A 23,860-nucleotide genomic window follows, 5' to 3' on the forward strand; every position below is an offset into this window, starting at 1 on the left:
GTGATATGTTCATAGAAACATGTGATTATGCAATTCTGTTCTTGTGGGAACGTTATAGATTGTACTGAAACCTAGCTGGTGTACTCTATGACACACCTAGGCTGGTATACTATTGCTTCTAGGCTACAAATCTGGACAGAATGTTACTGTACTGAATACTGTAGGAAACTGTAACACAATGATAAGTAATTGTGTATATAAATTTATCTAAATATACATAAAGTACAGTAAAAATGTAGTATTGTAAACTTCTTCAAAATTTTTATTTTATTTTAGATTCAGGGAGTAATGTGCATGTTTGATACATGAGTATATTGTGTACTCTTGGGGATTGGACTTCTAGTTTTCCCATTATCCAGATAATCAACCTGGTACCAGTAAGTAATTTTTTAACCCTCATCTCCTTTTTACCCTCCCCCATTTTACAGTCTCCAGTCCCCTAGTATTTCCATCTTTATGTTCATGTGTACCCATTGTTTAGCTCCCACTTATGAGGAGAACATGTGGCCTTTTAGCTCCCACTTATGAGGAGAACATGTGGCCTTTGATTTCCTGTTTCTGAGTTATTCTATTAGGGATAATGTCCTCTAACTCCATCCATGTTGCCCCAAAGGACATGATTGTATTCTTCTTTTTATAGCTGCATACTATTCCATAGTGAAAATACGGTATTATAATCTTATGGGCCCACTGTGGTATATGTAGTACTTCATTGACTGAAAAGTCCTTATGTTGCACATGACTGCATGGGAAAAAAAACATAACACATATAGGGTTTGGTACTATGCACAGTTTCAGGCATCCACTGAGGTTCTTGGAGCATTTCTCACAGATAAGAGAGGACTACTGTATGTTGAAAAAATTTTATTAACTATCATAGAAGGATATAAAAATTAGTAAGATTTTTTTTCCCTCACCTCAAAGAATTTTTGTATGATCCTACAGAAGACATATTAAAAATAAATAAAAAGGCAAGAAAGCCTAGCTCTTCCTGACAGGTTATGATAAAAATAGCATATTTTTTTCTGTTCTATCTCTCCCAAATTCATAACTCCAGAATAACCATGAGAATATCAGGAAACCCAAATTGAGGAACATTCTAAAAAGCATCTTACCAGTACTCCTCAATTTGTCAAGGTTATGAAAAACAAGGAAAAACAGAAAATCTGTTGCAGATCCGGGAGACTAAGAAGATGTGATGACTAAATGCAATGTGGTATACTAGATTTTGGAACAGAAAAAAAATTAGTAAGAAAAAACTGTTGAAATCCAAATAAAGCCTGTAGCTTCAAGAAATATACTAATACTGGTTTTCTAGTTTCAAAAAGTGTGCTATGGTAATGTCACATACTAACATTAGGAGGCATTGGATGAGGGTTATACGAAAACTTTCTGTAATATATTTGGAACATATCTGGAAATGTAAAATTATTCCAAAATAAAAACTTTATGGAAAAATTAAAAAGCACAAAAATAACTATAATGCAACTCAAAGTATGACAACTGTCACAAGACAGAAATAAAATTCTGTGGGACTTGGGAAGTGGAGAATACCACCTCTATGTAAATGGAAGACGAATGCTTTTGTAGCAGTGTGCAAGACCTATTTCAAATGCTTATCCCAATCCTATGCAACCCCCTTCTACAAACCCAAACCATCTGGCATTTTCTTTTTGGATTCAGGATAAAATCCCACCCTATATTTTTCCATGGGGAATAGGCTTGTAAGATCAGGAACCTATTCTGAGTGTCAGGCCTTCTTTATAATAGAAAAGTGTTTTACTAGTATGCAAGAAACAGAGATTCTATGTTTCTCTAGCTGCATGAAGTATACCAAGGTGGGTTGGGGAGGGTGCCATGGGAGCTGTATTTTGTAGCTCCAGATACTAATAGGATGCTTTGTCGGTAGACATTTTAAAAAATAATAAAGCCTAATTACAAGTTGATATGTAATTATCAACTTTTTATTATCACCATGCACCAGCAATTTTAAACAATATCAATGATAAAATTATTCCTCCCATTGGAGTGAGCCATTTCCATCACCACCCTCCCCACTTGAATATTCCACTGCCAGGCAGTTTTGTCCCTATAATAGAGAACCTGACTTGATTCTTTTGATGCTAGCCTGCTGACAGCCATTAATCCTCACCCTTCACCTTTCCCCTTGTGCTTCCCGTCTCAGCAAGCTGATATAAAAATCTGGGTGCCTTTTTCTTTGGCACAGCTGGGAAGTTCAAACCATGCAAGACCCTACACATGTGTGTGAAACTTCACACTGGCTACATCCCATAAGCAACATAAAAACCCCAGTCAGCCTCCTTTCCTTGGTCTCTTAGTCTCTTTTCAGATCTGCTTGGGAGATCACCTGCTGTCCCCAAGAAAGCCCCATTTCATGAGAAATAAATGTTTGCATACTTTTTTTTTTTTTGAGACAGAGTCTTACTCTGTTGCCCAGGCTGCAGTGCAGTGGCATGATCTGGGCTCACTGCAACCTCTGCCTCCCAGGTTCAAGTAATTCTCCTGCCTTAGCCTCCTGAATAGCTGGGACTACAGGTGCGCACCACCATGCCCAGCTAATTTTTGTATTTTTAATAGAGATGGAGTTTCGCTATGTTGCATACACTTTTAGAGAGTGTGTGCGTGTATGTGTGTGTTTGTTGTGTGTGTGTGCTGTCATCAGACAGCCAAATCAAATTTTGTGTGTGGGTCAATCCTGTCTATGTAAAGTGTCCACAACAGTCCCACAGTGTCAGGCACTGTAAAGAACCCCATTTAAGACATAACTCACAGAGAAATCTTTGAAAGTCCAATGGTGTTTAAAATAAATAGTCGATTACTATCCCCATCAGCTTCCTCTTATTTCACTTGGATTTTGCTTCCTACATGTGCATGGGACCCTCTTTGTTCTGCCTCCCACTTCCTATCTCTTCTTTGCAGGGACCCCACTTCATTGTGCCATGTCTCCTGCAATTGAGTTAGTAAGTCCCATTAATTCTGAAATCTCACATTCTTCTTTGCAAACCATTTTTTTTTTTCTGGCTGAAATCGATGGTTTGTCATAATATAATCCATTCATTTACTGTGCTGAAATATCATTTCATCTCAAGAAGGGAAGCTATATAGGTAGAAATCTGGGACAGTGGCAGAGAGCTTCTCTGTGCCCCACCTGTAGGATGTATGCCATCCTAACTAGCTATATTCTCCTAAATCCCATTTGGTTTATAATACTAACGAAAGTTACAAAAGCAACAGACAATTCCAGACTCTGCTGTCTCCTAACCCTGACTTACTTACTTGGAATTGGAGAAATAATACATGTGCATGTTTAAATCAGCCAGTGTCAGGTAAAGGAAGAGGCAACATTTAGTGGCAGCCACTATTTCTGTGGAAACTATAAGATAGACCCACAACATAGATGTTCCAGAAAGAGAAAGAGAAAAAGAGTAAAGGGAGGTAGAAAAGAGAATATATATACATATATATAAAATATATTATATATAATATATAACATATGATATATAACATATTATATACTATATAACATACAATATATAACATATCATATAACATACGATATATAACATATTGTATAACATATGATATATGACATCATATAATATATGATATATAACATATATAATATATAACTTATGATATATAACATATTATATAATATATAACATAGTATAAACATAACATATTATATATAATGTAAGATATTATATACATAACATATATAATATATATTATATACATAACATATATAATATATAAGATATTATATACATAGCATATTATATAATATATAAGATATTCTATACATAACATATTATATATAATACATCAGATATTCTATACTTAACATATTATATATAATACATAAGATATTATATACATAGCATATTATATATAATATATAATATATATAGCATATATAATATATAAGATATTATATACATAGCATATTATATATATGATATTATACATAACATATATATAACATATACAACACATTATATATAACATGTTACATATAACATATATAACATTATATATAGCATATATAACATATTATATATAGCATATTATATATAGCATATTATATAATATATAACATTATATATATGTTATATATTATATATAACATATTATATATATGTTATATATAATATATAACATATATATAACATATTGTATATATATATAACATATCATATATAATAATATAATATATAATATAACATATAATATATATAACTTTTCATTCTCAACCAGATTGTACAGATAAAGAATGATGAAAAGATATTTATATATATATATTTTAAAAGTTATATATATATAAAAGTTATATATATTATATATAAATATATTATATATATATATAACTTTTCATTCTCAACCAGATTGTACAGATAAAGAATGATGAAAAGATATTTCCTGAAAGATTAATTTCATCAACTTTGAGCAATTGGATAGTAATGTGAACTTTATTTTTTAGACAATGAGAATACAGTTTTTGAGTCGAAAAATCATATTGCTGCAAATGAGTTCTAGAAATATTGATTATAGAGTTATTTAAATATGTAAATAAATGATGGAAGAAGATTCAAGACATTTTTATAGTAAAATAATAAAGACAATTGAAATTAAAACAAAGTTTTAGATGCAAGAGACATTGTACAAGTAGAATAAATAGAACTTGATAACTAAGCAAGATAGTTTTCTGTTCATAAGCATAAATAACTATAACCAGGAATAATGGCAAGCAAAGGGACTGCTTTGGATAGAAAATTATGAATTCAACCATTAAAAGTTAAAAACTAGATAAGATCAAAGTCCTTTAACAAATTTAAGAATTTTACAAATGTGAGTTACTTTTTACCTTTCTCTGCTCTTTACAACCCTATAGCATATATACTACAAAGGGAAAGATTTTGAATTCATAACAAATGGGTGGACTAGCAAGTATGTTTTATTATTTAATTGTTCATTTTTATTGTCTAAATTTAAGGGTTGCAAGTGCAATTTTGTCACATGGCTATATTTGCATAGCAGTGCGGTCTTAAGCAGGTATGTATTAAAGTTATTATATTCTATTTAATAATCACTAAAGAATTTGCAGTTTTACTTCATGTCATGCTCATTGCCATGGTTAAAACTGCCCTACCAAACTGAGTTGCCCATGCTCAGCTGCAGAAGGCCTAGGATTTTTTGTTCATTCAGCCTCCAATCTTCTAGTACTATACCTTTGTACATAACTGTAAAAATACAAAAGAGAAGAATTAAGCAAAAGACATCTTTTCCTCTTTGCCCATCTACATCACCATTGATGTAGAGGGAAAGTGAAAAGGGGAGCTAATTTATGGCTTTTAGGTTTTTGATACGAGGTATTTCATGACATTTTGCAAAAGTACATAAATAATTTAATTATCAAACACTCAGAAAGCGGCATGGCCCTTTTATTAGGTAGATAGACCAAATGACCTAGGAAAAGAGTTTGGTGTCTACTGTAAAGTCAATATGGGGAGCCTTAAATCAGTTAGGTTAGAGTGCCAAAATATATGTGTATATATTCTGTGGCCCGGATATAAGATAATTTCTCAGCTTTACACAGAAAGTGCTAAAAATATTTTTTGATAGTGAGAGTATAAAGAAAGTATGTGCTTCATAGCTTCACATTAGCTATGGAGAAGTTTTGTCTCCTATTGTGTAGCGTAAGGAAATGTATTACACAATGCAGCACTTCATAAAACACTTATGCAATTGGGCATGTGAGTTTTATAAATATTTAGTGGGCAGAAATCTTGCCTTGTGCTTCTCTTAAACCTGTTATAGTACCACACACAGGGCTGGGCATGTATTAATAAATATTTCACTAAAAGATTGCTAGGGAAAACAATCAGTAGTTACTCACCATTTCCTCCAGATAACTACCACTTCAGTAGTTAGGCATTAAATCTGAGAAGTACTTCTCATATTTACACAGTTTATAGAATGGATAATAATAATATTATTGGTTAAAATTGACTAGATTGTCGTTCCCTGTGGCAAGTTTAGACAATGGACTGAAATGGCATGTATTACCAGCTTTGAACTGCTAGTGCTGCTAGTACTAGATGATATCTCAAATAAATTCTGGGGAAAAAAAGGGGGGGGATACTTCTGCAAATTTGTTCTAGACTCGGCCCACTATTAATAAGATGTATGTCTTATCTATTTTAAGGGATCATAGAATGCAAAACATGTCATTAATTTATTTACAGCACATAGGTTGAAGAAAAAAGAAACACCAGCACATAACCCAAATCTATCAATTGTAAGACTTTACTTACTCTCAGAATGTCAATTCAAAATATTTTTCAACCAAAGGTGTTTCATGTTATATTTGTTCAACAACTTTGTCTAAGAGGTTAATGCCAGCACCTTACTAATTAGCAACAATTAAACCTGTTTTGATTTTTTCCAAAGCCCATCTTTTGCCCCTTTCTACAAATATTGGTCATGTTTAATTGTCTGAAATCTACTGGGTTTGTAAAACAAATTCAAGTTTTTGTAACTGATGGCTTTCCCCTTGGTAGTGACTTTGTGTTAGACATCACAAAGCTAACTAGACTCCAGAGCCTGCACTATTAAACCTTACACTCACAGCACAGATTATGCCAAATGGGCAAAAATAAATAAATACGAGCCTGAGGCTAGTTGGGTTGAAGGAGTGGGGGTTAGGGGGAGAGGCATAAGTTAATGGCAAGCTTTCCTGACTCTGGGCCGCATTCAAACTCTGCTCAGCTCCACTCACTGCCACATGCCACTGTGCTTTCCCGTCCCCCGTTCACAGAACTACTGCAAATGGTATCATTTTGCAACTAATTTACTCACTTAGTTTTGGCCATTAGTCATTCCCAATATCCTCAATCTGCAGGTAATTTTCCACATTATTAGTTACCCACCTGTCTTATTAAACTGGACTTTCTGAAACCCTGTGTGCCTGCATTTTCTGCACCTTTAGATCAAGCAAATAATTGCCCATACCTGGATGGAAGAATTTAATAGGAAGCTTATAGTTGATTCCAAAAGTTAATAACTATAGCATCTGGTTTCCCTTTTTAACATTTAAATGACAATGAGGACGCAGTTTTTGAGTAGGAAAATCATACTGCTGCAAATAAACTCAGTGTTCATGGAGAGAAAGAGAATGAGAATGAGTCAGCATACCATAGACTAAAATCTTTTTATCTTTTGTGGACAGGTTAAATATAAATGGGCAGAAGATAGGTTTGAATCTTTCACTAACGTACTTCAACTTTGACCCCAAGAGACCCATCTCGATCACATTAAGGAAAAGAAACTTCCATGATGGGAAACTTAGCTCCCCAATAAGGACAATGGCCAAGCCCTCTGCTTTTGTGCAGTATCTCTGATATCTTTGGTTGCTCTGAATGAGAGAATACAGCTGCTGTGAGACATTTTCAATTCATTTTTATTCACATCTCCATAAAACAATCTGCATAGGATATGTTTTTAAATATTGCTGGGTGGAACTTGGGACATTATTTTCTAAGCCAGGTCAGGAAAATCAAGCACAAAAACCCCAAAACTTCCAGCACTGAGGGTCAGGATTGCAATTTGCCAGGAGTCTAAGGAGAGTACCTCATTTGCAATTAAATTGACATTCATTTTTTATCAAAAATAAATGTGTCTGGCCACAATATTTGCTTGGAGCTATAAGTTTGATTTTTAGTTTAAAAAGAATTCCACGTTTGCCAGTAATGAAAACAGAAAGCCAAAATATTTCCAGAAATCATCATACATATTTTTCTTAAACAACACAACATCAAACTTTGAGACACCCAAGACTTGATATGAAATGGGCAAAGTGGAGAAAATGACAATTACACAACCTTCATATTAAAGTACTTTAAAGTTTATGTAAACATCAACTTAAATTTTAGAAGTCCTCGATTTTCTATATCTATCTTCTAGCCCATCTTCTCCTACCTCTTCTAAATACAAATGTACCCTCCTTTGTTAATGAGGAATAGTTACCAGGAAAAGAGGTCTACTTCAGAGAAGAACCTAAAATGAAAGTATGTTTTAGGATTACAGAACTTAAGTGCACACCACTCGTTCTATCCAGTGGCTTCTGTATGACATTATTATTATTATTATTATTCTCAAATATTGCTTGCTTCGCTGAACTTTTGCACATCTTATTATCTATACCGAAGGTTTCTTTTTCCTTATGCTTTTGCTTTTTTCTCTTTACATGCTTCCATGCCTGCCTAATTGTACTACAAACACACTGTGGGCAGGAGTCTAGACCTAGGATTCACAAACTGTAGCCATCATGCTATATTCTGTTGGCTATATATTTTTATAAATAAAGTTTGTTGGAGTTCAGTGATGGCCATGTGTTATGTATTACTAAATGCTGCTTTTGTGCTGCAACAGAGTTGAATAGGTATCCCAGAGATTGTATGGGTCACCACAAACAAAAAAAAAGTGTGCTGATCTCTGGTCTAGGCTTCTTGATATTCTTTCAACGACCTTGATGCTCTACTTCCAGGCTTTCAACATGCTCTGAAGACATTGCCTTTTAAGGGTAGGCAGGCCATAACATACAGCAATTCCCTAAGACACAGTCATAACCACAGAATGTTAAATATTTTATTTTGCTGAGGTATTACCTCCAATGTTCAGAGAGTACGGCGAAGTTTTAAATCCAAGTCTGGTTCAAACTGGGGGAAGTGGTTTCCAACAATGTCGGAAGTGACAATATGAATACGACTTCCTGAGCCACATTCCCTAAGGCAATTATCTGTGATAAAGGGAAAAATGGCAAAATAACATTATCAAGATGCTCACAATCTTAACCTTTGGTCCTGGGAGATGTTTGATCTTGTTCTTGTAACCTCTTGACACTTCATCAATTTGGTCTTCACACATGAGCATTAAGAAAAAAATTCTTAAATCTTCTCTTACACAACTTATCCTCCCTCTTCCTTTCCCCACCCACGGGATGTCCCTTAAAGCCTGAAGATATACTTACAAGAAATATTAAAACATAGTTCACCGTCAAATCTAAAGCTTTAGTTATGAATGTCTAGCAGCATTTTTTGTTTGTTTCTTCAGAGATATTCTCACTCTACTGAAATGGAAAAAGAGAAAGAAACTATGTGCCTCATTATTCATATTCTTTTCATCCAAAGAGAGTCTCTAACAGTGAATGTGGACATCTGTCCTACAAATGTCACATCACCTGTCTGGAATAAAACACCAGAGGTGAGATAAACTGAGCCCTTGTGGTACTATTTGCCACACTCCATGGAAAGCAGCTGCCCTGTTTCTTATGCCAGGGAAGATATGAAAAACAGAGATGTTGAATTTGGCCTATATTTTTATACAGTGTATTGTTAGCTCCTATTCACTATAACCGATAGATAAAGCATCAAAGTTTGAGAGTTTTCAGCTTCATACGAGTTCATAGCTCATTCTCCTTTATGTATTAGATTTCAACACAAGTAAAATTATAACTTAATACACTAACCTGGGATTGTCAGAGCACTTGACTATTTAGTGAGTATGGAAATCATTAGTTACAAGACATGGTTTAGATGCTGTCACATTGTATGGTTTTGTTAATTGATGGTCATGGACATATGCCTAGGTGTCTGCTTTCCCTCCTCACCTTCGAACATGGGGAGAACCAAATGTCTGCCTAGCTTTCTGAGTGACTACATCGAAGTCCCTCCCTTATTTAAAATAATGGCACCCTTATTTCTAATTATTTTTCCTGAAGATGTATGTACAGGAAATAATAAACTTTTTCAAACTTTTCTTAAACTAAGACAACCCATAGCCAAGAGGCCTCTGATATCCTGCCAGCAGCCAAAAATGAGCAACTGTCAGCCAAAATCTGGAAGATAAAGAACAGTGCTTCGAATGAGAAAGCAGTTGTCTGGAGCCACTGGGAATCCATTGGCATGGAACCAGATTAACTAAAATCCACAGGTCTGTTTCCTGCATAAACAGGTGAAGACAGGGCTGAGAGAGGTGTGAAAATAGTTCTTCAGCCACACTCAATAATCTATGGTTCCCAAGGTGCCCTCCTACATCTGTTTGCATTTTGGCAGCAAGGCATTCCAGACCCTGATATTCAACAGTATAACAGGCACTTTATACGAGGAAAAAAGTAGTGAAATCTTGATTATTTCTCATTCAAAGTTAATGTAATGTAATTCTTTTGAGTATTTTCATTTCATTTCATTTTCAAAGGAATTTAAACATAGTTAGGGAAAATAAATTTTTACTGATCAACTTCTGTGAGGTGGAAATTTTTAATTTTTAAAAAATGAGAACTTCAAAACGGAAACTCACTTTAAGTGTGAGACTGTGAATTTACATATGCCCTGTCATCTGTCATCTTTTGGGAAAATATTCTAACTTGATGAGAAAATACTTCCCATTTTCTTTTATTTATTTTATTCAGATAAAGGAGAGAGAGACAGAGATAGACAAATGCAATATCCCGTGCTAGAATTGTGTGAAAGATTATTTAAAGTGAGTAACTCCCGTCCTGGTCAACATGGTGAAATCCCGTCTCTACTAAAAATACAAAAAAATTAGCTGGGCTTGGTAATGCGTGCCTGTAGTCCCAGCTACTCGAGAGGCCGAGGCAGGAGAATCGCTTGAACCCGGGAGGCAGAGGTTACAGTGAGCCGAGATCACGCCACTGCTCTCCAGCCTGGGTGACAGAGCGAGACTCTGTCTCAAAATAAATAAATAAATAAATAAATAAAAATAAAGTGAGTAACTCATGGTCTATGTCTTCCAAGACTGTTGCGTTATATGGAGTTGCAATTAATAGTTTCCACCAAAATCACTATATGGAGGACAATCAGAAAGGGAGTCACTGTCATAGCATGGTTAAAGATGACGGAAACAGGAACTAGGGTGTTAGCAGTAAGATTGGAGAGAAGGAAAATAATTCAACAACACATTTTCTTGTTTTCCCACTGTATTGACAATGCATGTCAACACATGATCCTTATAGGTAGAGTAGAAAATATGTATAAGCTAAATAATAAAGGGTAAAGTTTTAGATACCACCATCAGGTAACAATTCAGTATGTCTATGTGTGTATATTTCTGTATTTGTGTCTGAAATAGAAACATATATAAGCAAGAATTGACATGAGTTGGAAATTAAGTATCCAGATTGAGGTAGAGGCATATGTAAAATGATTTGTTATTACTATCTGAACCTAAGTTTTAAATGGCACAGATAACATCAGTAAGCTTTTCAAGTATTATTTTGTTCTCAGTGTTATAGGACCATTTACCTATAATTCATCTAAGGTGAAATAAAAGTAATACTAATGCCCATAATATTGTATATGAGCTTAATATGTACCACGGGCCAGGTACTTGTCAATGATTTTTTGCATTGTTTCATGTAATCCTCACAATAGCCCTATTTCTTAGAGGCTATTATGTTCACTTTGCAGATAAAAAAACATTGGCTAAAAGTAATTTGCATAAGAATACATAGCAAGTAGTAAGCCTTTATTGCTGTGTTATTAACACTACTTGAATCCAAATTCTGAACCACTGTGCTCTGTGGCCTAGGATAAGTATTATTTATATTGTTTCCTTTTCTCTTCCATCCTTACTTATTTCTTAATATTATTGTGCAGTTTATCCCCAACGACATTGTAAGTTCCTTTATTTCAACGACCATATTCTATATTTATTTTCTTCCATACTTCCACCATGCCCGAGAAAAGAAGTTTTGAAAGATTGATCTTTTATTGGCAAAAGCTTGAACATAGTTGGGATACCTATAGAGAATTTAAGAATTTCAACCTTGACATTTTAACTACTGAAAAACTGTTATCACTAATTAGCGTCTTAAACCTATCATCATGCAGCACATACTGCAATAGATATCTCTAAATTTTCTGGCAAATTCAATCAATGGAAATCTTCATAATAGTTAATGCAAGGCACAGAAGCTATAGAATTGTGACAAGGGGTTGTTCTCACTGATCATGTTCCGCAGGTAACTTCCTAGACTTTATTTTGTATTGGTGCACGTAACCAAAACTCATAAAGGACTGAAATGAAGGCATTTCCCTCCCCCCACCTCCTTCTCTGATTGTTAGTCCTTCTCAGACGTGAGGGCAGTGTCTCCTTGGGCTTCTGTCCAAAAACAGGATCAGAATAACCCTCCCTAAGCTTGTGGCAAGAAAGCCAAAGGGATGGGACTGCATGAGGTCAGACACCCCATTCTGCTACTGATCACTTTGGCAATTTTGCTACCCATGTCTCCAGTGCCACACAAGCTTCTGAAGTAATCTTGGTTTATCACCATGTGATAAGTAGATCTATGGGGAAGTCAAGCAAGTTTCCCAAATTCTTTCAGAAATTACAGATTTATTTAGGTATAATCTCACTGCTAGACTCTCATTCTTGGATGCCAGTCCACAGAGGTGGGCCCTTTCCTGTGTCTCATTACCCTGAAAATAAGAGTCCCATGGATAAATCCTCCTACAGGTTGTTCATATTGGTGCCTTGACTACTCCCATCTGAAAACACATCTTGCCATCCAAGAGCCTGTCACCTCCTACCTTGACGGCAGCTGCTTGAGTTGGGAGCACACTATTTAACAGTGTGATGCTGACGAATACTGGGAAGAACAGTGACAAGCCTAAGTGCTGTTTTACACCCCATTTAACCAGGGGAGACACATCTGTTTATTTTTGTTTCAGGGGAAGCACAAGGCTTAGTCTTTGTGACAAGGTCACAAGTCCAGCCCTAGGATTCCTTGTGGGGAGATCACCAAACTTCTCCAGACAATCGATAACAGAATGCCAACTGTGAGTTCTTCAAATAGAAATCCAAGGACATGATTTTGTCTGGCTAAGATGGAACAGGCCCAAATAAAAAACAAGCATGAACAGTTCTCTTTTGTCTGCGGGCTCACAGCCTGTCCTGCTGTTAGCCCTAAATTCTCATTTGGAGAAAAGCCATGCTATTACTTCATAGAGACCAATATATTTGAAAGGCAGAGAGGTATACCACTGACTAAAGGGAGAACAGTAATGCATTTTCTTTTTCCATATTTTGTTTAAATATGCATTTCTCAAGAGTCATATCTTTACAAATGGCTTATAATTTCTCACACTCAGTTATTGAATAAAACTTCATGATGCTACACAGCCCCACTGTATTTGTAGGGAATATGAAGTCAAATAGCCTGATTTGAATATTGCCTCTACCACCTCCCACCTGTAATATTTGGCAACTTTCTCCATATTTTTGTGCTATAATTTCTTCATCTGTAAAATAGGAAAAATTACTTCTCAGATTAGCATGATAATTAAATGAGATAGTGTTGATGATGAGCTTAAATTTTATCTTACAATCCTTGAGATATAATAATGAACTTATTATGCTACTTTTGATAGTGGCAGGAGGCAGTCAAATGCCTAGGAAGATAGAGGTGGATCCCATGCGAAATCCCACCTCCAAGCCGAAGACAGTTTAAAGCCTGAAAGCCAACCTACAAGTTAAATCCTCTCACCAGATTGAGAAACTGTCTTCCTGTTTGGCACACTTTTCCTCTGATTGATCCCCACCGTTCACCTATTTTACATATACCTATCCTTTCCTAGTTAGTTTACTACAGTCATGCCCACCTTTGAGTGGTTGTCTTCACTTTAAACTTTCTTGCATACTCACAAACCAATCAGCACACACTCCCCATTCTGAGTCCATAAAAAGCCCTGGACCCAGCCACACAGAGAAAAACTATCTGACTGTAGGGGTGGGGGAACCCCAACCCACCCCCACTCACAGCACCCCACGTCCCTCACCACTGAGAGCTGGTCCACTCGAATTCTTCTCTGCCCATCCTCACCCTTCAACTATCAGAGTATCCTTATTCTTCTTGGACACAGAACAAGAGCTCAGGAACTACCAAACAAGGGTACAAGCTATAATACAGGCTGGGTGCGCCTGCGCCTGCGCCTGGCCCAGCCGTGGGCTGAGCCGGTGTGCCAGCTAGACTTAGCCAGGGGGGTCGAGTGGGTGGGGCGCCTCCAGCAGCAAGGCAAGGTGCGTCGCCAGCCAGAGGTCCTGGCTGGCAAAGCGACTGAGCAAATTCCTGTGTCACTTTAATTTCTAATACTATTAATAAATTTATTTTTATTCTTTTTCATTCATGAAAGTACTGTGAGTAAACAAACTTTGCCAATATAAAGCAGATGCCATTCCTATGACTTGAAATAAGAGAGCCTAGCATAGTGAAAATCATTGTTCCAGGAGAGGAAAACTTTAAATTCCAATTAATATTTAGCCACCAAAATTCTGACTTGTTTTTATGCAGTGTGAGACAACTTATTATGAATTTAGGAAGGGCAGCAAAACCGCTTTAACTAATCAAAATGCTCTTTAATTCCCTAATTTGAGAATTCCTCCATTGAACTGTTTATTTTTTTTTCTTTTGAGTATGGACGTTATGATGTGAACTGGTACTTGCACTAAAAGTACCAGTTTAAGTTTTACCAATTATTTATACTTGTACCTGAATTGCTAATACTATTTTGCTATCAAATTTTGAAAGAGAAGCAAAAAAGTGTAGGTCCTTGGTCTTCATATTTCTAGAAGAATTAGGGTCTCAACCAATGAAATAAAGAGCATATGAATGGAAAATTTTCTTGTTAAAGAAAATTGCGCAGTTCAAGACTTTGTAAGAGGCCTTACAGTCCCTGAAAATATTTAGCAGATGCCTTTTCCCAGACCCTAAACTGAGTACACCTCCTTCCCAGAATTAAAGCAGGGTTACTGTACTTGCAAGGACTGTTTTTATCTTTCTGCTTCACCGCAAGATCAGATGATGCAATAATACCACATTCAAATGAGATAATTCTTCAGGGGTCTTTCATCCAAGGATCTGAGGTGCTTCATAAACATTAATTAATTCTCCTAACACCTTTGTGAGGAGAGAATTCTATTTTTTGTACGAGTTAGACATGCTAAAGTAATACCACCAGCGCTTAGACAGAATGCAGGCTTCAGAACAAGCCCAATCTTTCTGTATTAAGCAAAAAGTTCCCTTAATTGGGTTCATGTTAAGGAAGGTGAGGAAAGGGAAAGAGATGTTAAATGCATCACAGAAAGAAGTCACCGCACGACTCACAAATCCAGGGACTCCGATGACGGAGCTGAGCCTTCGCAGGACGCCCTTGGTCAAATGCACACAACAGAGGGGCAGTATCATAGAGAAACTATGTACTAAATCAAAAAATAAAGCAAAGAGAAAGAAGGTACAGTCCAACTTCAGAGCACATTATAACATAGCTTTTCCGTAACCAACAATGAACGGTCCCTCTGCTTTATGAGTTCCAATTACTGCTATTGAATATAGCCTGAAAAATTTCCTCTCTTTTAATTCATTTCCTCAGATAATAAGGATTTATTTGGGAGTTTCCACTTCCTCTTTTTCCTTTCATTCCTTTTCTCCCTTACCAAACTCTACATCTGGTTTCTCTATAGTTAAGTCTTAACACTGATAATGTCTAATCAGTACTTATGACTTTCAAAAGTTTTCCTCAGAATCTTTCATGTACTTTAAGACAATCTATTTGGGCCGAGATGTTCAGTTTTTCAGAACATACTAATAACTTTGTCTGAGCTGTGGCAGAAGTGTCTAATGTATCTACATAAATTGATGTATCCTAAATGAACATACAGAAATGTCACGGTTCAGCACTAGACTGATAACCTTCCAGGTACCAATTTCTATTTTAGCAACAGGCAAGGGGTTAAGGAGAGAAATAACTCTGTTCTAAAAATGATTAAATAGGCCTAGCACAAGATAAGAAATAAGTTTATGCCTTTCTTTTCCAAATTTCAAACAAATACAAAACAGTCTTAGGGTTTTACTTTTATTTTTAAAATATATTTCTTATTTTCTGTCGAGAAGCAGTATGAGTTTTCAAAAAAGACTAAATTAAGAGTAAAGACCGCTGAATTCCAGCCCACTCTGCCCCTTACTAGCTGTGTCTAAGTTTCTCCATTTGTTAACATATTATATCATATAGTTTTTATAATTTCAACAGAGGAAACATATTTTAAAATATTGAAATAAGAGTAAAGATTCTATGTCATATCATTATGACTAGTGCCAGAATGGGATTGGACTCAAGTTAAAATAACTTACCTATAAATTCCAGTGGTCTCATATGGATTGATTTATCCCTCTTACCTATCATCTGTGGCTAGGGATAAAGAATTAAAGCGACCTGTGGTATCCATGCTTTTATCAGTCAAATGTGTGCAAGATTGGAGTGAGGCAAGGAACTTGGTAACACCAGTTGAAATCACTTGTTTAGTGACTGAAAGCACATTTTCCAAACATAGGCAATAGAAGGTCTCAACAGACTCAATAAAGGTTGTATATTACATCCATCTCCGATTTCCCACAGGCTAACAGAGAACTGATTGAAACAGTAAAACTTTACAGAGTTTTTCATTTATTGAAGTAGAATGACAAAATACTGTCACATAGTTCTGGCCACATTCTCACCAGATCAGTTCCCTGACTCACCTTGTTCTCCTTTCACCCTGTCCCCCAACAATCTTGATCAGCCTTTTAAATTTTTCAGGGCTTTCTATTTCTTAGTTTCACAAATTGAGAAAATTATTTCCTCTCTTGACTAAGTATCATTTCTTTAAGCCCACGTTTCCAGGACTGGTAGATCCCCTTTCCACTAGCATGAAGGAAAATCTAACCTGCCAAGGCATTGGTTTGACAGTATATTGCCTAGATTTAAGATGTTTGATTTTAAAGCACAATCTTGTGAAATGTTTCACCCATGCTGCACTGCACCAATTCTATCAATTTGTCACTCATGGCCTTTTAATTTTTCCAGCATGATAGGAAATGCATTATCCTCTCAATCCACATTCCATATCTTCTGCGAAAGCATTCACAAGACAGTACGTATGCATTTCCAAGGCAGTCTAAATCAAGATTTAATGATGAAAATGTCTTAAAAAATTTGCTGAAGATATTTTTGCCAAAAATTATGCTGAATAGAGTTTGTTAGATAATACACTAACATTCTCTTCTGAAGCAGAAGTGAGAGGTCACATCTTTGCTACACGCTTTACATTTGAGCATTGAAAAATCCATGACATACATTTCCAAAACTTCGGGCTATAGATGAGCCAAGTACAAATTTTAGTCTTTATCCTAAGGGCAACAATTTCTTGAATTTCTTTTAAAATCTAGTAGCTGTTTTTTCAATTTGGAAAAAAATCGGAAGTAAATTCTTCTACTTATTGGTGCTAACTGTAGGTGCTAAATGTTTTCTCTACAAGCTTAATTCTCACAAATGCACTGTAAATTATAACTGATTATTCCAATTATAGATATTGTATAGAACAAACCTAGAAAGGATTGGTGTCTCTAAAACTACCAGAAATAAGTTGTGATGTCAGAATGAGAATCCAACTTCTTTTGACAGAAAGTCCATGTTATTTATGAACATTTTCTGTGACCATCACACTCTCCAGATGAAATTCAAAAGCGTGTATTCAAGTCCTTAAAAAGCAAAATAAACAAAAATTGACTGAATTTTGGTTAAAATTTTGAACTCACTTTTATATGATGTGGGAAGAATTTTTATGTTTGTAGTATCTAATCTTTCCATTTAAAAACATGATAGGTTTATCTGTTGATTCAAATCTTCTTTTGCTTTTAAAGCATTCAAAGACAGACTTTTAAGTTTGTTGAACTTTATTTCATGGCTCATAGTACAGTTAATTTTGATATAAGTTTTGTGGGCAACTCAAAAGAATATTTATTCTGAATTTGGTGAGTTACCCTACAAATGACAATTTAATACTTTAAGTTGATGTTGTTTTCTTCTATATTCTTGCTGGTTTAGGGATAGACGTTTCTTCAATTGATGAGAGAGATACATTAATTTTTCCATATGTATTTATATATGTATAAATGTCATATAAATATAGTATATAATGTTATATATATTTGTGTTTTTTTCGCTTTTTCTTTTCACTTCTATAAATTTAGTTTCCCATATATTGCAGCTATGTTGTTTGTACATACACAACAAACTTTAAGCTTGCTATGTCTTCGTCCTCTTCATGGAGTGACTTTTTATCATGTTGCTCTCTACCTCTGGTAAGTTTATTTGCTCTGAAGTCTGCTTTATCTAATGATAGTGTAGCCACTCCTGCTTTCCTTTGATTACTGTTCACATGAAACTTTTTTTTCACTTGTTTATTTTCACTCTGCCTATATCCTTACGTTTGAAGTGAGTTTTCTATATACTACATATAGTCAGGTCTTATCTTTTAATCCATTCTCCCAATCACTGCCTTTTAATTAATATGATTAGACAACTAGTACTTAATGTAATCATTTATGTTTGAGGGCTTAATGCATTTCATCTAATATTGTTTTGTTTTCTCTGTTTTTTTTTTGTTTCTAGTGGGTTTTTTGCATTTCTATAGATAATTTGAACAATTTCTAAAATTTACAGACTTTTCTGTAGTGTTTTTGAATATAACTTTTTGTACAGCTTCTTAAATGGTTGCTCAAGAAGTTACTATACATAAATAACTTATCACTGTCTATTATTGTCATAATTTTACCAGTTTAAGTGAAGTATAGAACCTTACCTCCTTTACATTGCTTTACTTTCCTTTAGACAATAATATAATTATATAAAATATTTCTCTAAATGTGTTTAGATTCATATGACATTGTTATAATTTTCACTTTAACCATCAAACATAATTTTTGAAACTCAAGAAAAGTCTATTTTATTTACACGGATTTTATATCTCTATATTCTTTCTCCCCTCTCATGTTCCAACACTTCTTCCTTTATCATTTCCTTTCCATCTAAAGAAATTTGTTTAGCCATTATTTGAGAATATACTGCTCTCCTTCATTTCTGAAAGATCTTTTCCCTGGAGATAGGGTTCTGAGTTGAGAGCTCTTCCCCTTTCACATCCTCTTACACACACACACACACACACACACACACACACACCACAACACACGTACACAAACTGAAAAACAGTGTACTACTTCCTTTGGGACTCTATGTTGTATAATGAGAAATCTGCTATCATCAAATTGTTTTCCTATCTTGTAGGTATGGCTCTGGCTGCTTTCAAATATTTTTCACCTTTAGTTTTCAGAAGTTTAATTATAATTTATCTTGACTTGAATTTATTTGGGTTTATCTTGTTTAGAATTTTCCTAGTTTCTTGAATAAAAAGGTTTATGTGTCTTGCCAAATTTAAAGTTTTCAGTCATTAGTTTTCCTTGTACAGTTTCATCTCACTGTATCTCATATACTGAACTCTAATAACATATTAATATTATAGCTTATGTAATTGTTCCACGCAGTTTCGTGTCTGTTTATTGTTTTTTATTCACTCTGTGTAATTTTTATCTTCAGATTGGGTATTTTCTATTCCTCTACTTTCCAGTTCATTATTATTTTCTTTGTAGCCTCCATTCTTCTATCAAGCCCATCCACTGATCTTTTTATTGTAAGTATTATTTTTTTCAGCTCTAAAAGTTCATTTGGTTCTTCTCTACATCTTCTATTTCTTTGCTGAGGCTATTTTCTCACTTGTTTTATGCATATTTATAATTGCTCATTGAAGGACTTTTAACATGATTACTTTAAAATCTTTTTCTGATATGCAAACATGCTGTCACCTTGGTGTTGCAATCTATTGGCTTTTTCGTTTGTTTGTTCTTTTGTCCTTCAGTCTGAGATCTTCCTGATTATTTGCATGATGAGTGACTGTTTTATTGAAACCTGAAACACTTCTGTCTAATGTCTGGAAACTCTGGGCTTAATGCATTTCATCTAATATTGGTTTGTTTTCTCTGTTTTTTTTTTTTCTGGTGAGTTTTTTGCATTTCTATGGACAATTTGAACAATTTCTAAAATTTTTAAACTTTTCTGTAGTGTTTTTGAATATATATTTTTGTATAGCTTTTTAAATGGTTGTTACAATATATATAGATTACTTATCACCATCTATTATTTTCGTAATTTTACCAGTTTATTTAAATCTTCAGTTTTAGATGGATGTCTCTGAAATTGCTCTGATAGAGACATGGGGCACTGTCTCATTGCTGATAGAAGCAGAGCTACAGGTTCACTATCAGCCTCTAATAATTCATTAATAATTTGATTATGGTTGAGTTTCTTTTTTTAATTCACAACCAGCACATTGTTAATGTGTACAATTACTCATCAGATTCTGAAGTGCTGACAAACATCTATCTACTGTGGATCTACTGAGCTGATAGAAGATAATATTCTAACTCTACTTCCATGGTTTTCAGTAGTCTGAATCAATAAACTAATGAAAAATTGGTATTTGTTATATGTGCTAATATCAGGTTCTTCATATGTATCCATTTCCTCTAACATCCTACTTATGGGACTATTGACTTCCAGTAATGATGTACATTTTTTTCTCCTTTTCCACACTATTCATTCTGCTGGTTTTCAAGGAGTTGCATCTTCTGAATGGATATTAAAAGGTGACAGCAAGAGAAGAGCAGTACAATGGACACTCAGAACATTGGGACCAGATATAACACCTGATTTTTTTTATTTGTCATAAATCTTTCCTTTCTGGTCTAAGGACAATGAATTTGTGAGTTATGAATTTTCTCCTTATCCTCTTGCTTTCGTACATACTTCATTTCAGGGATGCAGTATTGAAAGTCCCTTAATTATTAATTTTAATATAGTTATCCAATTCTTACTCATCAATTCTGGTAGCAAATTGTTTGTTATGATATGTGTTTACTTGCGATATAAAAATTAAAATATTTACATTCCCTCATTGGCTTTCATGTGCATTTTTGGTTTTGAATAATATTTTAGTTGATTTTTAAAGGAAGTTAGGAGCATCTGCACTAGGCATACTGGCCAAGTGCCATTTTCTACCTAAACGAATAACTTCCAATGCTACAAAATACTACAGCATGCTGATATGAAGTGATTTAAATACTATCATATTTAAAAGTGATGGGTCTTGTATCCATATCAAGGGCATAAGAAGCATGTGGAATATGCAGAGGAATGGCTAGTTGTTCAGAAGAACTTTCTAATAAGATTACTCACGTCCTCTTTGTCAAAATGAACCTGAAAAAAATGTCTGCAAAATGAAGAAGTTTGGACAGAGGGTTTGAATCCTAAGACAATAAAACAGGAGTCAGAAGGTAACCTGAGGACCTCACTTATGTATATGATTAATGTTTAAACCAAAATAAAAGCCTGGAAATCTAAGATACAGGATTATAAAAAACAACCTAAAGTGAACATTTTCCCATTTGATTAAAATAAAATATATTTGAGAAAACTGATGAAATTATAGCAGCTATATACTAAGGAAGACAGAGTTTGAGACATCGCATGTAAAAGTAAACAAAATAATTAAAAATATTAGAAAAATGCAACACAAATAAGTTATGTTTTAGTTTGAAATATTGAAAGGAAACATGATAAAATTATATGAATTGATAAATGGTGCTTATATGGTTATATAGTTTGGTTTATCATTGACAAATAATATGGAACAAAAAGTTACAATTTATACATATATATGTGTATATATACATAGATATTTATATATATGTATACATATATGTATATATACACATATATGTATAAATTGTAACTTTTTATTCCATATTATTTGTCAATGATAAACCAAACTATATAACATATATATACAAAATATATATGTATTTATGTATACATATATATGTATACATATATATACACATACATATATATTCAGTTATTTGATTTGGAATTATCATTGAGAAGATAAAGGTTAATTTATTTATTCATTCTACAAATACTTATTGTGTACCTACTGATAAGATCTGGAGGATAAGGCTAGTGAACAAAACAGAACATTCAATGTCCATATGGAAATTACAGACAAAATATAATTGAATAAATAAAAAATAAAATATTAATTTAGATTAAAAGTTGCTTTAAAGAAAAATGAATCAAGAAAAAGAGATGCAGACAGACGAAGAAACTATTTACATATGATGTAACATAAATCCTTTCTGAGAAGATAATAATTTAATAATGGCCTGAATGAAATAATAGTAAGAATAGGAGAGACAGAGAGAGAGACAGACAGACAGACAGACAGAGACAGAGAGAGTGCAAAGGCCCAAAGTTAGGAAAATTCTTGTTTTAGGAAAGGCAAGGACATTCTATTACAACTGGGGAGGAATGACAGAACAGAAAGTGATTAAAAAAGAAAAAAAAAAAAAGCACTAGCAAAGTGCTACACCATAAAACTATAGTGAAGATTTTGGATTTCATTCTATTTGTCATGAAAAACCACTAGAGATTACCAACAGGGAATAGCATTCTTAATATAATTTTTTAAAAAATCACTATGGAAGTAATAAGAGAAAAAAAAAAATTTCCAGGAGGGAACTATTACAACAAGGAGTCCACAGTAGGCTGATGCTGAATTCTAAGGAACAGTGATGGTGTCTTAAACTAGGGGAAGTAGAGGTACAGGTGAATAGGCTTGGATGGAGTTAAGATACAGCTTTAAGATGGAGATGCAAGCATTTGCTGGTATATTAGAAGTGTCCTTCAAGAAAATTAAAAATTGAGAGTATCTTTCAGATTTCTGGCCTGCACACCCAAGAAAAATTAATTCTAAAAATGTTCTAATCGATGATAAACTATAGCATCATGAATAGCTATTAAGTAAGGCCAGTTGCTCTGGTTTGAATGTGTCCCCCACAACTTACGTGTTGAAAACAGAATTGTGGCTCACGGCTGTAATCCTAGCACTTTGGGAGGCCGAGGCAGGTGAATCCCGAGGTCAAGAGATAAAGACCATCCTGGACAAGATGGTGAAACCCCGTCTCTACTAAAAATACAAAAAATTAGCTGGGTGTGGTGGCAGGTGCCTGTAATCCCAGCTACTTGGGAGGCTGAGGCAGGAGAATTGTTTGAACCCCGAAGGCAGAGGTTGCAGTGAGCCGAGATTGTGCCATTGCACTCCATCCTGGGCAAAAAGAGCAAAACTCCGTCTCAAAAAAAAAAAAAAAAAAAAAAAAAGAAACAAAGAAAAAGAAAACAGAATTGTCAATGTAACAGTATTAAGAGATGTGACCTTTAAGAGTTGATTGAGTCATGATATGGGTTGGCTGTGTCCCAACCCAAATCTCATCTTGAACTGTAGTTCCCATAAGCCTCACTCACATGACGTGGGAGGGACCCTTTGGGACATAATGGAATCATGGGGGTGGTTACTTCCATGCTGTTCTCATGATACTGAGTGATTTCTCACAAGATCTGATGGTTTTTAAGGGTCTTTTCCCCCACTTCACTCTGCATTTCTCCCGGCTGCTGTCATAGGAAGAAGGATGTGTTTGCTTCCCCTTCTGCCATGTTTGTATGTTTCCTGAGACCTCCCAGCCTTGCTGAACTGTGAGTCAATTAAACCTCTTTCCTTTATAAATTACCCATCTCTGGCATGTCTTTATTAGCAGCGTGAGAACAGAATGATACAGTAAATTGCTACTGGTAGAATGGGGTGCTACTGTAAAGATACCCAAAAATGTGGAAGTGACTTTGGAACTGTGTAGCAGGCAGATTGGAACAATTTGAAAGGCTCAGAGGAAGACAGGACAATGTTGGAAAGTTTGTTACTTCCCAGAGACTTGTTGAATGGCTTTGACCAAAATGGTGATAGTGAAATGGACAATAAAGTCCAGGCTGAGGTGGTCTCAGACGGA

The sequence above is a fragment of the Homo sapiens genome, chromosome 18, assembly GCF_000001405.40.
Source record: "Homo sapiens chromosome 18, GRCh38.p14 Primary Assembly".
Taxonomy (NCBI): Eukaryota; Metazoa; Chordata; class Mammalia; order Primates; family Hominidae; genus Homo; species Homo sapiens.